Source organism: Homo sapiens, chromosome 8, assembly GCF_000001405.40.
Source record: "Homo sapiens chromosome 8, GRCh38.p14 Primary Assembly".
In the NCBI taxonomy this organism is placed as follows: domain Eukaryota; kingdom Metazoa; phylum Chordata; class Mammalia; order Primates; family Hominidae; genus Homo; species Homo sapiens.
In genome coordinates, this window is record NC_000008.11 from 40096187 (window position 1) to 40113005 (window position 16819).

General features: G+C 37.8%; 1 long non-coding RNA gene across 4 annotated transcripts in view; it reads left to right on the forward strand.

Moving 5' to 3' along the window:
• The first annotated feature begins 7883 nt into the window (after nucleotides 1–7883).
• Nucleotides 7884–16819, forward strand: part of LINC02866 (long intergenic non-protein coding RNA 2866) — a 69001-nt gene continuing 60065 nt past the window's right edge. For 3 of the 4 annotated variants that reach the window (NR_186439.1, NR_186438.1, NR_186441.1), the window contains exon 1: nucleotides 7884–8116. This is a non-coding gene — a long non-coding RNA (long intergenic non-protein coding RNA 2866). Of the gene's footprint in view, nucleotides 8117–11696; nucleotides 11815–16819 lie in introns of all 4 variants that reach the window. The other variant, NR_186440.1, reaches the window with a different exon arrangement.

The following is a 16819-nucleotide window of genomic DNA, read 5'->3' on the forward strand; positions in this document are numbered from 1 at the left end:
AACAAGTTAAAATTTAACTCTGAAGACAATTGTTTTCCTAACATTTGGCCATGTTATAACTGTTAGATGCTAGTGTTTAGAAGATCTGTGAAGAAACTAATATTTTTACTCAACTAGTCTCCAGGTATCTAAGCAGCAACTGATTTCAGAGATGACATGAGAAAGTTGTCATGCAAAAATATCTTGAAGAGTAAGCCTTGATGGCCAATTGTACCTTCCACAATTATGGACTGATTGATTTTTATATTTCTTGTATTCTTGGGCTGCACAGTAACCTAAAAACATATTTCTGCATAATCTGTGGATCACTCTTAAAAGCTCTTAATATGATTCTCAAAATGTAGCTAATAAATTTTATCAAAGAAAATATCTTGATTTAGCAGAGTCTATTTAAACACAAAGAAAAATTATTTCTCTTTGATGAATGGCAGGTTTGATTTTCACTGGATCCTTCTCAGTCAAATCTTTATCCTCCCTCTTAAGGAAGATTATGCCATTTTAGATTGTTTTATTCAGTGCGGATATGCCTTTGTCAGCACAGAAATATGTCTGGATAACATATTTTATACCCCAATATCTGCACTTTCTTTTGGAGTTATTTTTAGGGTGCAGATTTCCCTTTCTATGGATTTCATTCTTCTGAATCTCTAATTGAAGAATACTGTATTTAAATTCAGAGTCCTGTGAATGGACTAGAAGGAATCTCTGATCTCTGAGGTCATTCAGTGAAACATAAGTTGTTCTTGCAATAGGAGGTATATGCAGTTGTATATTATAGATTGCACATTCACAGAATAAGTTCTTATTCAAATATATATATATATATATATATATATATATATATATATATATATTTACTTATTTTTTTTTTCTTGGAGACAGGATCTCGCTCTGTTACCCAGGCTGGAATACAGTGGCACAATCATAGCTCACTGCAGCCTTGAACTCCTGGGCTTGAGTGATCCTCCCACCTCAGCCTCCTGAATAGCTGGGATTATAGGTGCATGCCATTGCACTCAGATAATTTTAAATATTTTTGTAGAGATGGGATCTCACTATGTTGTGCAGGCTGGTCTTGAACTCCTGGCCTTAAATGATCCTCCCTCCTAAGCCACCCAAAGTGCTTGGGATTAAAGAGGTGAGATATTAATGAGATAGCTGAAAAAAAACAGGTTTGGACTGTTGAAATCATGAGAGGAAATAGGAGCCATATTTTTTAAAAAGTGTGCAACAATGAGGAAAAGATAGAGAATAGTACTCTGGGGACAAAGGAAAAAAAATGAGGAAGTGTTCAGAGGGTTAGAAAGAGAATCATAAGAAAGTGATACCACAAAGTGAGGGGAACATTTTCAAGTAAAAGTGAGTGTTCAATTGAAAGATCAAAGAAGAAGAGAACTGAACATTAGTAACTGATAGCTCTTTCATCTGACTCTAGACAAATAAAATGTGACAACTCCATTTAAACTCGGATGTGTCTAATTCTACAACCTGCGATCTTTCTATCATACCATACTACTTGCTATTAAAACAAACATACAAACAAACTCGAGGTGCTGAAAAGACCAGTCAAATACCTACTAATAAATACATGCACTAATTAAATGAATACTGATTTCATGACTGCTTTGATCCAGCACTATTCTAGACACTAAATGTAGAGTGCAAATAAAGAGGATGTGATGTCGGCACCTTATAGAGCTTCCAGTCTTGGGAAGTGGATAGATATCAATTAGTCATATTTAATAAGTATTATGAAGAAAAAATAATATGAGGATATAATAAAAATAATAAAAGGATCTATCAGGACCCAACCTGGTGTGAACTTCAATTATGGCATCATATTTGAGCTGAGGTCTTGCAAATGGTAGAAGTCAGTGAGGTGGGATGGGCAGGGGTGAGGATTTGCATGATAAAAAGAGAATGACGATGAAGTGCTGAGAAACTGGGCTAGAGAGTTCAGCATGGCCAGATTATGCAAAGCTTGGTAAGCCAGGTTTGAAGGTATCTATTTAAGTGTAAGGAGAAGCCTTTATAGAGTTATTATATTTAATTTCCACACTGCATTCTGACTCACATCATCCTATTTTGAAAAGAATTGTTATGACATTTCCTGGTAGTAAAATGCAGCTACAGATGACTTTTTTCTTCCTCTTTGTGAAGCCAATTTATCACTCCGTTGATTTACCTTTATAACATCAGCACCATAATAGCTATGATTTAGGACAAATCCTAGAGTTAGGAGAACACTACTGGTAACATCTACCCTGTGGATGCAACCACACCAATGTAGTATTAGAGTAGAGATGAAAGTGAGAGTAGAGAGGAAAGTGGGAATTGAAGAGACAGTGAGCTTCCTTTGTCTAAAATATAGTAAATTCAGCTGTGAATATACATTTTTCTTTGGAGAATGTAATGCCAAACTTGGCCTAGCAAGAATTAGGGGGCTGGGCACAGTGGTTCACGCCTGTAATCCCAGCACTTTTGGAGGCCGAAGCGGGTGGATCACTTGAGGTCAGGAGTTTGAGACCAGCCTGACCAACGTGGTGAAACCCCATCTCTACTAAAAATACAAAAAAAAAAATTAGCCAGGCTTGGTGGCATGTGCCTGTAATCCCAGCTACTTGAGGGGCTGAGGCACGAGAATCGCTTGAACCCGGGACACGGAGGTTGCTGTGAGCCGAGATTGCACCACTGCACTCCAGCCTGGGCAATAAGAGTGAGACTCTGTCTCAAAAAAAAAAAAAAAAAAAAGAATTAGGGTGACAATCACAAACCTAAAATATCTCTTGTAGTCTGGGGACTCACCAAATCAGTTTACCATGTGAGTGTTTGCCTGAGACACAAAATGATGTGGCTCAGTTGAGCAATTGCCCTAAACCCCACTCAGTGGGGACGGGAGTTGGGAGATCCTCTAGATTAGCACTGTTGGAATTGTGATTATAGTCATGACTTAGCTCTATTCTTTTTATTATTTCCTGGTCCCACCTAGATTCAGTCACTCCCCAGTTCTTATCTGAGAAACTCCCATATTTGTTCTTTTTATTTTTTTCTATTCAGGGCAAGTTGCTATGCAAAACACAGTATGTCTCACGACTGCATCATCTACACTAAATTCTTCAAGTCCCTCTCATCAGCTTGGGCCTGTTTTCCATGCTATAATCCTACATTTCCAGTTGCTTACAGGATATGCATGTGAATACCATCTGTTATGGGTGGAATTATGTCTCTCCAAGATTCATATGTTGAAGTACTATACACCTGTACCTCAGAATCTATTTGGAGATTCAGTCTTTTAAGTTGTCATTAAGGTAAAATGAGGTCGTATGGGTGAGACCTAATCCAGTATGATACATATCTTTATAAAGAGAGATTAGGACATAGACACACATAAAGAGAAGGTTAAGTGAGGACAAAGGGAGAAGATGGCCACCTGCAAGCTGAGGAGAGAGACGGCAGAAGAAATCAACCCTGGCACCACGTTGGTGTTGAACTACACTCCACAATTGTGAGAACATGAGTTGATGTTGTTCAAACCATCCAAACTATGGTAGTTTGTTGTGGCAGCCCAGCAAACGAACACAGCATCCTGGACTCAAAGTCATTTTACAAGACTGAGTCAGCCCATCACCTTCCTCTAAGAGTAATTCCTCTTTCCCAAGACTAAAATTACAAACTCTTACTCAGCATCTGTTGTGGATTTATTAGGTGTCAAGCACTGGGGGTAGTCCCTGCCCTCATAAATCCCATTCCACTACAGCTCCCCTCAGCTCATATCTCTCACTGACACTTCCATTATCTCTACCACCCTGACTGCAAACCGTGCAGTCCTTTGCTATTTGTCCATCTTTCACCTTTCGTTTCTACTCAGTCATAGATTTCCAATGAGTGTTTCATGGCATGCTTACTGCATTTCGTGAGACTGCCACGCCTTCCCTGAATTACTGGTGTAGTCTCCTAATGGGTTTCTCCTTTTCCTGGTCTTTGCCTTCACTTATCTTCTATCTGTTCTGTATACCAAATATTCTGCAAACATAACTTTCACCACGTTACTCACCCTCCTTTCTCAAGAACCTCTCTTACAGGAAAGGTAAGGATAAATGTGTGTCAGTCTGAGTCACTTAGAAGTGAATTTTATATTTGATGTTTCAACATAGGCAGGGCTTCACCTGTAGATGAGTATCTGAGGTCTCTCATTGATGAATGTCATATCTTTCCATACAGTCTTCATCACATTGGCTTCTTGGGCTAGCAAGTAGTGTTCACATTTTGAGTTAGGTAAATGTTTGAACTGTTCATTGCTTTGACAACTGCACTTTTTCTCTGTAAGTTTTCTAAAGTTGCATATATAATCATGATCAATCCAGATCCTAGAAATAATTTAAGTCATAATGGAGTATGAGTCCACCATTGTAAATTTCACTGCCTTAAACTTCTTTTATATATTAAAATTATTTCTAAATTAATTTTACTTCTAAATTAAATGTCTCCCTTGAGAGGCACTGCAGTGTAGTAGATGAAAACACAGACTCTGAATCTGGAATTTCTGTTTTCAAATACTGGTACTGACACCTAGTAAGCTGGATTACTTGGGTGAGCTGTAAACTTTCTGTCCCCAGTTTCTGATTACAACGATACTTATCACCTAGGGTTGATATGAGAATAAAATGAGTTAATAAATGTACGGTGCATATATCAATTCATATAATAATATAAATGTATGCTCTTAAGAGAATATAAATACAGAAGTCCTATCTTACCTGCCCTCTCAAATTATGCACTAGGAACCACAAGTCTCATTTGTTAGCTCCACCATTTGCATTTTTTTTTCAAAGCTCACCCTTCACCAGACCCCTCCAATGACATCACAATAAAGAAAGAGGCTTGGCACACTCAAACACACCAATTCAGTGGTGATATAAAAATGGTGAAAAAGAGTGCAAATAACTTTTCAGAAGATTGGCTTGGGGTTTATGGTGTTGCATGTGAATGGGTGAATGCTAAAATAAACCCACGCTAACATGAAGACCAAGCTAGTGCTTGGTGTAGATGAGGAAGATCACAAAAATGCTGTTTCTCCTGCTTCGGGAAATGCTGACCTCCTTCAGATCAACACGAAAGATCAGGGGCCAGATCTGTCCTTTCCATCAGACAGAATTCCTTATATCTGACCTAATCTATGTGCTACAGGCTAGAGTGAAAATATCTCCTTCTCTCTTTCCCTGTCCCCCTTTCTCAATTAATTTCCCAAAACCTGTATGTAAATTGATCTTCACAAAAGTAAAAAGAAGAATGACCCAGTATAACTCACTGTTTTGTCATTTCCTCCAGGTTTTCTTTCTTTTTTCCTATTTGTTTTTCCACTGATCAATTTTTCTATCCACGAAATTAGAAATCAAAATTCCATGACCTCTAAAATGCTGTCCACATATTGTAATCTGTTGCCATGAGCTTGACACTTGTCAGGAGTTACAAAGAATATTAAAATTCCCCCTTTCTGGGAATATTTGGTCTAAGTCGGAAAGATAAACAATACAATTAAAACAATACATTGTATTTTTTTTTTTAACCAAGGAATGTATTTTGCTATGAATGGCAAATAACATAAGAGAAACTGTAAATGTGGTAGAGAGGAAACAATGATTACTAAGATATTTGGGGATTCTGGAAGAGTTTGCCTGAGCTGAACTCTGGAAATCAGAAGTGAGGGAGAGGAAGAAGGAGAGGAAGGAACATTCTAGGAGGGAAAACTGAACTAGGCATTTTGTGGGACACCTGGAGGATCACGAGGTTGAGGACATGCCAGGGGGAATTCAGATTTCAGATAAGAGGCTTGTGGAAAAAGTTCAAAGAGGAATATTGAGACCACATTATGAGGGATTTTAAATACCAGGCTGGGAGTCTGTGCTCTGCTTTTAGGTTAATGCTTCTCAAAAATTTCCCTAAGGGAGATAGGAATATTGTCTCATTTGACTGCAAAAATTTTAAAGTTTTATCTAACAATGTATAATGGATTATTTTTAAAGCTAAACTAATGTCCATGAATGTTGCATTCTATTGCATCTTATTTATTTTAGTTGTTCTATAACAATTATGATTTTCTTTCATTGAAACTTCCAGAAAAATCCAAGCTGCAGGATATGTCTTTTCTTAGAGCTTTAATTAGAGCTTTAAGTACCCCCCGATATTTCTAAGAATCCTTGAGGTAAGAGCATTCCAAATAAAAAGCACCAGCCTTAGGCTACAGAAAACCACTATAAATATTTTGAAAAGAGACTCATACACTAGCTGAAGGTAAGACATATTTTTTTTTTTTTTGAGACAGTATCTCACTCCTGTTGTCCAGGCTGAAGTGCAGTGGCGCGATCTCAGCTCACTGCAACCTCCACCTCCCAGGCTTAAGCAATCCTCCCATCTTAGCCTCCCAAATAGCTGGCACTAGTAGGGGCAAGCCACTGTGCTGGGCTAATTATTTTTTTTTTTTTTTGGAAAAACTGATTTTCACCATGTTGCCCAGGCTGGTCTCTAACTCCCAGGCTTGAGCAATCTGCCCGCCTTGGCCTCCCAAATTGCTGGGATCACAAGTGTGAGCCACTGCACCAGGCCAGGCACACTTTAAAAAGGAAACAAGAGCTGCAGGCAAATGCCAACCTGTTCTGTTCTTGGGGATCTTTCCTTTTCTTAAGCTTTCCCTATGCAGGACAGAGGTGAAGATCACCACCACAGTCATTGCTAAACATGGACAATCTTTACCTCTTCAAATCATTGGCACATACATTATTTCATTTTTATTTCAGCATATTCTTCCAAGAATGGATCAGAGGCCAATAGAGGGCTACACTGGGGAATGTTATTTCCCCACCTGGAAAAATATATGCATTTTGCTCCTTATTTGAGACCACTGTTTCTTTATTAAAAAGTCAAAAGTTTATTTGAGAATGATTCTATCTTGTTAAATAATAAATTTTCGGGTACAGATCTTCACTCGGCAACAATGAGGCCTTTCTTATTTGGTGAGATAATACTACTTTCCCTTAATTTACTTGTTTGAACCTGGCTGAAAACATTGCAATTGAGACTTTTCCTGCATGTTGGCTGGGCCCAGCTTCTGAGAGCGGGACAGGGATGGTTCCTTGGAAGGGTGGATGTTCTTGAGGCTGTGGGAGAAATTAATTCTCAAAACAGGGTGTCCATGTTGCCTGTGCTTTTGACTGACAACCTTGATTTACATGATTTACGTTGCTTTGATGTCTAGCATATGATATCTTTTCATGATTTACAACTGGGGATATAAGGCACTACAGGGATGTTCATGTTTCTTCTTATTGCTATTTCTTTTTCATCCATGCAGTGACCCCAAACCTAGCAAATGGTATAGGCTGAAACTCTGGATGTGGGCAAGAGAAGGGGGTAGGGGGAGTTGTCTTATTTGAGACCCATGACCTTTGAGTTGGAAACTTCTCTTATAAATAGGTAATTATAAAAGTTGTGATTTAATGGGGGCCCTGAAAGGCTCTCTGACCCCAAATATCTCTCTCTGCCTACCTGCCAAGAATCTGCCAAAATTAAGTCTTTCATAAGTCTCTTATTAAGGCATAAATACTTTGGGGCATTTATGGAGGACTTGGGGAGGTGATGTTGAGGTTAAAACCCAAGTTGATTTTAGCCCCGTCATGGAATCTTAGAAACTTTTAGGAGCCTAATAAATAAGAGGTCAATCTATTCAAAGTTCCACCTAGGACAAAAATGCTTTGTAATTGCTAAAAGTTATTCACCCAGCTTCAGACAAGCAGAGTAAAGACCTAGAAATTCACCAAGTGATGAAGCAATTTCTTCCATTATTACACCATAATAATGGTATTTGTTTAACAATTATTATACTATGCAACTCTCAGCACACTTGTTCATCTATATTACTTATTTACTTCTGTGTGTTGAGCCCAAATCTGCCAACATGTGACTTCCATCCTTTGATCTCATTTTCTGGGAGCAACACAAAAAAAATGTGGCTTCCTTGAAAGTTCTTCATGTATTTAAAGATCACTCTCAAGCCTGCAGTCAACCTGGAGTAGGCAGATGAAGCAGCTGGGGAAAAGACCTCTTGACCTACCAACAAACAGTAAGCACTTAGGGGAACAAATGAAAAACTATATGTGCATAAGGTTACTTATAGAAGCTTGAATAGAAAAAAAATCACAATAACTTAGATGACCATCACTGGGAGATTAGTTAAGAAAATTACCATGTATGTTTATCATGTGATGTGGTGCAACTACAGTCACATGTTACCCAACAATAGGGCTATGTTCTGAGAAACGTATTAATGGGTGATTTTATCCTTGTGCAAACATCAGAGTGTACTTACACAAACCTGCATAGCATGGCCTACTACACACCTTGGTTATAAGGTATAGCCTATTGTTCCCAAGCTACAAACCTGTACGGCATGTTTCTTTACTTAATACTATAGGTAATTGTAATACAATGGTAAGTATTTGTTTATCTAAAATACACAAATTGTCTATGTATAGGACACTTACTACGAACGGAACTTGCAGGACTGGAAGTTGCTCTGGGTGAGTGAGTGAGCGAATGAGTGAGTGAATGTGAAGGTCTAGGACACTCCAATACCCTACCATAGATGTTACAAACACTGTGTGCTTCGGCTACACTAAATTATTTTTAAAATTTTATTTCCTCAATGATAAGTTAACTATGGGCACATATTCTCAGGGCCTCCTGGGGCTGTGTCATGGGCAAAAAAAAATCTTAAGTAATAATAATAATAAATTAACCTTAGCTTACATTTTTACTTCATGAACTTTTAAATTTTATTTAACTTTTTCGTAATAACACTCAGCTTAAAACATAAACACATTGCAGAGCTGTACAAAAATGCTTTCTTTCTTTATATCCTTATTTTATAAGCTTTCTATTTTAATTTTTTATTTTGATTTTTTACTTGTTAAACATTTTTGTTAAAAACTAAGACACAAACACACACATTAGCCTAGGCCTACACAAGGTCAGGATCATCAATATCACTGTCTTCCACCTCCACACCTTGTCCCACGGGAAGGTCTTTAGGGGCAATAACACGCATGAAGCTGTCATCTCTTGTGATAGCAATGCCTTTTTCTGAAATCCGTTTTGAAGGACTTGCCTCAAACTTTTTGCACATAGAAGGAGTATGCCCTAACATAACAATAAAATGTATAGAACAGTAAATGCATAAGCCAGTAACATAGTCATTTATTATCATTACCAAACATTACACACTGTACATGATGGTATGTGCTGGAGTTTTACACAACTGGCGGTACCAGCATCACCACAAACACATGAGTAATGCATTGCTCTACAATCTTATAACAGCTACATGGTCAGTAGGTGACAGAAATGTTTACAACTCTACCATAATTTTACGGGACTACCTTCATAAATGTAATCTGTCATTGACCAAAACATCATTATGTGATGGATGACTGTATTAAAAATGAGGATGTAATGATACATTTTTGACCAGAAAAATATTCATGGCATATTGAGTAAAAGAAACTGTTCATAAAACAGGTATATGATTCTATTTGGAAAAATTATAAACATATATATATATCCATTTTTATAAATATGCAAGAAGGGATAATTAATAACTAACCTATGGTTAATATTGAATGGCATTTGGATGGTGGGATTGGAAATATTTTCTTGAATTTTTCTTCTTTATATATGTCAACAGAAACCCTTTATGATTTTTTTTCCCAAAAGCAATATAGCTATTTTCAAAATAAAACGAGAACAAATGACTGCTTAGTGCGCAGTTGGTATTCAGTACACATTCATTGAACTGAAACTGGAAGGTGAAAATAAAACATTACCTAAGTCCTGTAAGAACAAAGAGAGAGAGAGAAAAAGAGTGGTGTATGTGTGTGTGTGTGTGTGTGTGTGTGTGTGTGTGTGTGTGTGTATGTGTCTGAGAGAGAGAGAGCTTGAAAAATAAAAGAAAAATTTGTTCAGGGTGGCCTAAAAGGAACAATGGAAACAAATTAAGTAAAATGTCAAAGCTGAATTAAAAAGATAAAATTCCCAATGAGAGATAATCTGGATGGTGGAACTGAACTGCATAGGAAGTAAGCAAGAGCTTCCAAAACTCAAACTATTGTTTGAGTTTTGGAAAAACAAAAACAAAACTAAAACTTTTCCAGTTTCTGAAAGTTGACCTTTCAGAAACCCATCTTCATTTCTTCCATTTGTTCTAAGGATACTGAAAAGGGTCAAAATTATGTGTCGGATTTCTCCTACATGGCTTAAGCCTAAAGTGAAGCATCTCCGTGTAGAAGAGTGGCCACTCTGGGACTAATCTGGGCACAGCACAGCCTTTCCTCCCAGTGGAATGTGTTCTTTGTCAGATTCTAGCCTCAGGCCTTTGCAGCTGGCTGTGCCCCAGTCTGTTGGGTACATCATGGAAAATGAGATCCTGTATTAGCCACATGTGGGCTGTATTTGAACAGTATGTTATGGCCTCCTGCCTGTGTGTAGGTTTTGAGAAGGTCAAGACACATCTGGTTCTAGTCTATCCTCACAGTTGGAGCAGGAAGAAAGTGGGTTCTGAAGATACTGGTTTCTGACCACTAAGGAGGGGGCTGTGAGGTTGTCTTTTATAGACTGAGTACATAAAAGCATTTTAACATTTCTTCTTTCTCCTTTTTATTAACGAAAGCTGGTCTTTGAAACTCACGTTTCAAGCCACAAATATAAAACCCCAAACCAACCCTTGGCACTGGACTCATTATCCAGGCTCATCACAGCACCTTAAGACATGATAGTACTCTATTTGGAAATATGTAGCCCCTGACCTCAGGTCCAAAAGTCTTCCCATGCCCCAACAATCTCAAGCCCCCCCAAAATAAATAAATAAACAAAAACAAAAAACCCATTTTTTTAGTTGACACTGCTTGCTCTATAACTGTAATCATATTTTTACACCCCCAGTTTCTCCTTGCCTCTGCTCATTTCTTACTGTGACCTGCATTCAACATCTTCATTTCGCCGCCTGTCTTCAATCTACCTTCAACTGCTATGCTCTGACTTTCACCCTGACCACCCCATTAAATTCAGCTGCTCCATCCAAGGGGGCTTATTCTCAAATTCCACATCCATCTTTGACATCGGTGAAATGTTTGACTCTGGTATCCATCTACTTCTTGAAGCTCTTCTACCTGTTTCCATAACATTGCATCATCCTGCTTCTCCTCCTATTTCTCTTCCTTTTCCTTCACTCTGCCTTCATGACACATTTTTCTCTTTCACTACAGGTCTTCATAATCCCCTCTGCTCTTCTTGTTCATTCTAATTCCCTTGGAGAATTAGCCACTATCAATATATCAATATTTTTACATAGATTGTACCATTCCACTCATAGTACTCACCAAATACATCTAGCTGAATGTTGCATGTCATCAGAAACTTAACATGCCTAAATCAAACTGGTCTCCTCACCCGAACCCATACTCAGATTACAAATTCATTCCCAGTGGTCTTGCTCTTACTACCATCTTCTCAATCTTGAAGGACAGAACCTTTATGATTATATTTTATTTTTCCAACTCCTTCTTTTATATGTCTGTATTTCCCTCAAAATCTTCTTCTTTCTTTGAAATTACCATTCAAGTGATCTCCCTGTCCATCTCTCCTTTCAGGTCACAGGTCTGTAATTTTGAAATACAGCATGTGCACAAAAGAGAGTATAAAATTCATGTGTCTAATTACAAGAGTAAACAACAAAATGAACACCAGTGAATTGACTGCCAGATTAAGGTATTGAACATTTTCAGAACAATGCTGCAGTTGTGAGTTACTCCAAAAGTTTGTCCTCTCTGCATACGATTCAACTGGTACACTGCAGTCAGACTAATTCTCTTGAAATACTACCTGTATTGAATTATTCTATTTCTCAAGAACATATGATGATTTACTTTTGGTAAGTGAAAACTGCTAAGTTTTCAGTGTAGTTTTCAAGGCTGTCAAATATCCAACCCTGTCCAATTGCTTCTACTTTTTAATTTAGTAGCCCACCGCAGAAATCAAGTCAGACTATACACTCTGTGTGTTTTGGTAGACTCGTCTTGGCTAGTTTCTTATATCTTTGCTGCTGAGACTCTAGAACCTTTTGCCTAAGCATCTTTGATAATAGGATGGGACTTAGTCCAAGTAGTAGAACACTTCTCTCATGATTTTCTCAGGGCTTGGGGTGGCTTTAAACTCATTAACCAGTAAGAAGGAATTTTACTTAAAAGCTGTAGAAAATAAATCTAAATAGGGAGTAAACTGATTTCATCTTACTTTTTGCCTGAAGCTTTCGTGTATAAATCACGGCAGAAATTTCATATGAATAAAGCATTTCCTTCCTCGCATCTGAATTTGCATTGACTTAAAAATGAAACTAACCACAATAATGTGAGTTGTTGGAGGAAAAAAAATCTAATTCAAAAGCTGTTTAATAATAATGTCTTTACTCATTTATTTTCTCAGTAGGGAATGAGTATCACAAACACTTTTCTGTTTTTATCCCCGAAACTAATCTCCATTGCTAGGTCAATCTCAAGGGGACTCTATGCACATATGTACTGGGGAAGTTTCTGTTTAGAAACCAGATATAACGCCAAACTTCATCCTGCTTTGGTTTTTATAAGCATCCCACGTTGTTGTGATAACTGAGATAAACTGAATTTTTTCTTCGCTTTTGAAAGCCAGAATGACAAAAATATGGTAAATATTTTAAAGCTAGATTTTAAGGTTGTTTCCCAAGCTGGCAGGAGTCTTGATGTTGCATCAACTGCACTTTAACATTTCCTGTAAGTGATTAAAGACTCTTTTTAGAAGATAATAATTACTTATTAAAACCACTCTTGGTTCACAAATTGATTTGAGACGGCAAGCAAGGTTTTTTTTTTTTTTTTTTTTTGCAAAATGAGGCTCAATAATCTGGGCAGTCTTTCACAATTTTTGTTCTGATTAAATTGTCCCATAAAATATTGACTGCTAGCGTGTACCACTTTCCTACATCCCTGGGAATATCTGAAACAAAAGATGATGAGTTCTGCCTTACAATCCTAATATGAAATTAAATAAGAGATGAAATAGTATGTAAAACATATTGAACACTGTATTGACAGAATCCCGTGGGACATTGTTCACCATGCCCACCATCATTCACTCTTCCCCTTCGCCATTCATTTTATTTTGAAATACATCTTGAGTACAGAAGAGTGTATAAAATCTTTGTGTATAATCACAAGAGTAAACAATAAAATGAACACCTGTACCTTGACTGCCAGATTAAGGTATTGACCATTCGCAGAACCTAAGAAATCCCCTGAGTGTACTTCCCTTTCATTGTTCTCTTCTTGGGCTGGGTTGTGAAACCTCAGGATGCACTTGCTTCCTCAGGCCTCTTCTGCGTAAGATTATTTCTGGAAGCGGCCTGATAAAACTCTTATTGGCATTCCCATCTAACATCTACCTCTCTTTGTGTGCTGGCTTTTTCTCCAAGTGCTCAGACCACAGTTGTGCCACATTCCGCCTTCTAGACATCCAATCCCACCTATTTTGCATCTATATCAGTCAGGGTTCCAGCAAGAAATAGATAGCACATTCACATTTTGAGGATAATTTTTAATAGAAATCTTTTGTTTGTTTGTTTTAGAGGTCTGAACAGAATTTAGGGAAATCAATAGAAAAATCATATATTATCCCTGGGCTAGCAGTGGAGGAGAAGCCATACCATCCTGCTATGAAAGGGGTAAAGAATAGAGTGGCTTCTGGCCGGGTGCAGTGGCTTACACCTGTAATCCCAGTACTTTGGGAGGCCGAGGCTGGCAGATCATGAGGTCAGGAGATCGAGACCATCCCGGGTAACACAGTGAAACCCCGTCTCTACTAAAAATACAAAAAAATTAGCTGGGCGTGGTGGCGGGCGCCTGTAGTCCCAGCTACTCAGGAGGCTGAGGCAGAAGAATGGCATGAACCTGGGAGGCGGAGCTTGCAGTGAGCCGAGATGCCGCGACTGCACTCCAGCCTGGGTGACAGAGCAAGACTCCGTTTCAAAAAAAAAAAAAAAAAAAAATAGAGTGGCTTCCGCAGCCCAGACCTGAGGAGCACAGCACAGCCTGAAATGGCTCGTAGCCTTTTGCAGAGACACAGTCTTGCTGGCAGGGAAAGACTCATGGGGTGCCTTGATCTCTTGATGCCTACTCCTCACCCCAGTGAGAGTCCAAATGAATGAGAGAGGGCAAGGGAAGCCTTCCATGCAGCCATAGACCAGCCTCCTGGGCCATTAAGCAGGTGGGTATGAGTGGGGAATAAATCTGGAGGAGTCCATGGAAGCCATCCATCACAGCTTCTAAGGCATCAGTAACAGAGGAGCTTCAGAAAACATCCCTAGCCCTAGTATCTTCAAAAGGAAGGGAGACTGGCTGATCCATCTCACTTATTTTCCTATGTTGTTTGTTTTAATTTAATATCTGATTCCCACCTCTCTTGAGATCCTCCAAAGACCCCTCTGCCCCTTGTCCTGCAACCTGATCCTCTGAATACAAAACTGCTACATGGCATCTTTTAACATATGTCTGGCCAGAGAGTACCCATCTTTTAAGGCCCATATCAGATTATATTATTTTCTGGGGAACTTTGTTAATGACATATCCCCAGAAATGTCTTTTACTCTCAACTCTTCTTGCACCTATAATCCAAATCCATGTTCTCCAAAATTTTTGATCACAGAGCCTCTGAAGAAAAAAAAAATTAAGCATAGTTTTCTGGTCTATGTTTAGTCATATGTTTATAAATTATATGCATGTGCAGTTCTAATATATGCATTATTTTAAAGGACACATAATTCGACCTTGAAATAATAAATTAATATGAATAAAAGTTCAAGCTCTTTTTTTCACTCACCTCAATCAGTCTTCCCCACTTTGGTAACTTGATCTTCCTCCATCTCTAGTGCTTATTTCTATTCTTTCGTGTTTATGATTTTTTGAGCTTCCTTCACAATGAAAAGTTCTAGACTATTATAATCATGTTTTTATAAAAATGAAGTGGTTTATAAAAGTGTCAATATGTGGTAAGGGTGGTAAGTTTATGTGTGTGTGTGTGCGTTTGAAACTTTTTTGTCACTTGTGTGGGGGAATGTGTGTGTGTGCCTGCGTTCACCTGTCCTTGAGTGGGGTGTGTGTGTGTGCCTGTGTTCACCTGTACTTGTGTGTGTATGTGTGTGTGTTTGTGTGTGTGCATGTGTGCCTGCTTTCACCTGTACTTGTGTACTGGGTTGCTACATAAAATGGGCTTATTTCTGTGAGTATTGTTTTAAAATCTGGAGAAATGCTGCCCCAGAAAATGTCTGTGAAAACTCTGCACTCAAAGTTTAGAAAGAATAATGGAAAAGGTGTCTTTTCTGCTACTACTATAGAGTCAGCTTCAGGCTAGTAGTGAGAGTCCATGCTCTTCTTTAGTAAGCATCCAAGGCCTCCTAAAATTTTGGACTCAATTTTATTCCAATCAAAATGTTTATTTCCTCACATCTATTTAGTTTAGAGGCATGCCACATGGGACTAAGATGATATGCAAAATAAATCCCCATTAACTGACTAAAGTGTGACCATGTGTGAACATACTTTCTTTCCAAAAAAAGAATCTCAAAATGTTAAAGATGAAAGGCTATTAATTTCCTTCTTAGATTAAAGATCTTTCTATCCACCCTGCCTCTAATTTCTTTTGGGAAAATAACATTTGTTGTCTTCTCTGACTCTAAAGGTTATTTGCGTTTCACATAAGAAATAGAAAAATAAAAGAATAAAGAAAAACAAAGAAATTAAATGTGTTTCCATACCTAGAGATACCTGGTATTAAAATTTTAGCTTATGCTTCCAGTAATTTTTTAATGTATAACATCTTTTATACCTACTAGGAATCATACTTCAGTTTTGAAATCTTCCTTTTGTTCTTAATATATCATGAACATATGTCCATAGGCTAATTATACTTGGAGAAGATGATGTTGATCACTGTATAATAAATATTTCATCATAAAGGTGTCTTATAATTTAAGAATTTTCATATAGTTAAAAGGTTACATTGTTTCCAGTTTTCACTGCAATGAACACTCATTTTCAACAGCATCTTTGCATATCTCTTATGTAATATAAATTCTTCAAAGTACAATTTCTGTTTCAAAAATATAAAACTTAAAAAAATTACTCAAGTTTATTATCATATTGCTGTCCAATTGTTACTATAAGGAAAGAAGGAGCTAAAGAATAGAGTGGTTTCTGCAGCGCAGAACTGAAGAGCATGCTGCAGCTTGAAATGGCTCATGCCTTTTGCAGAGACACAGTCTTGCTGGCAGGGAGAAACTCATGGGGTATCCTGATCTCTTGATGCCTACTCCTCACCCCAGTGAGAGTCCAAATGAAAGAGAGGGGGCAAGGGAAGGCTTTCATGCAGTCATGGACCAGCCTCCTGACATTAAATGAAGATTGCATCATTTTTATATACTTGTCAATTGGGTAAATAAAAATTGCTAAATATTTTACCAATCACATTTATTTGATTGCTAGTGATGTTGAACACTTTTCCAAAATTTTTATTGGCTATTTGCATTTCTCCTTTTTTAAGTTGCTTGTTACATATTAATACAGGGTTAAGAAATCTTGTAGGCAGATAGTAAGGGTATGGGAGTCCTACATAAGCCTTTCCTTTTTAATGAAAAGCAGCCCCAAATCATTGTCTAACAAAGAGCAGCCTGTAAAGTCAATCTGCAGAC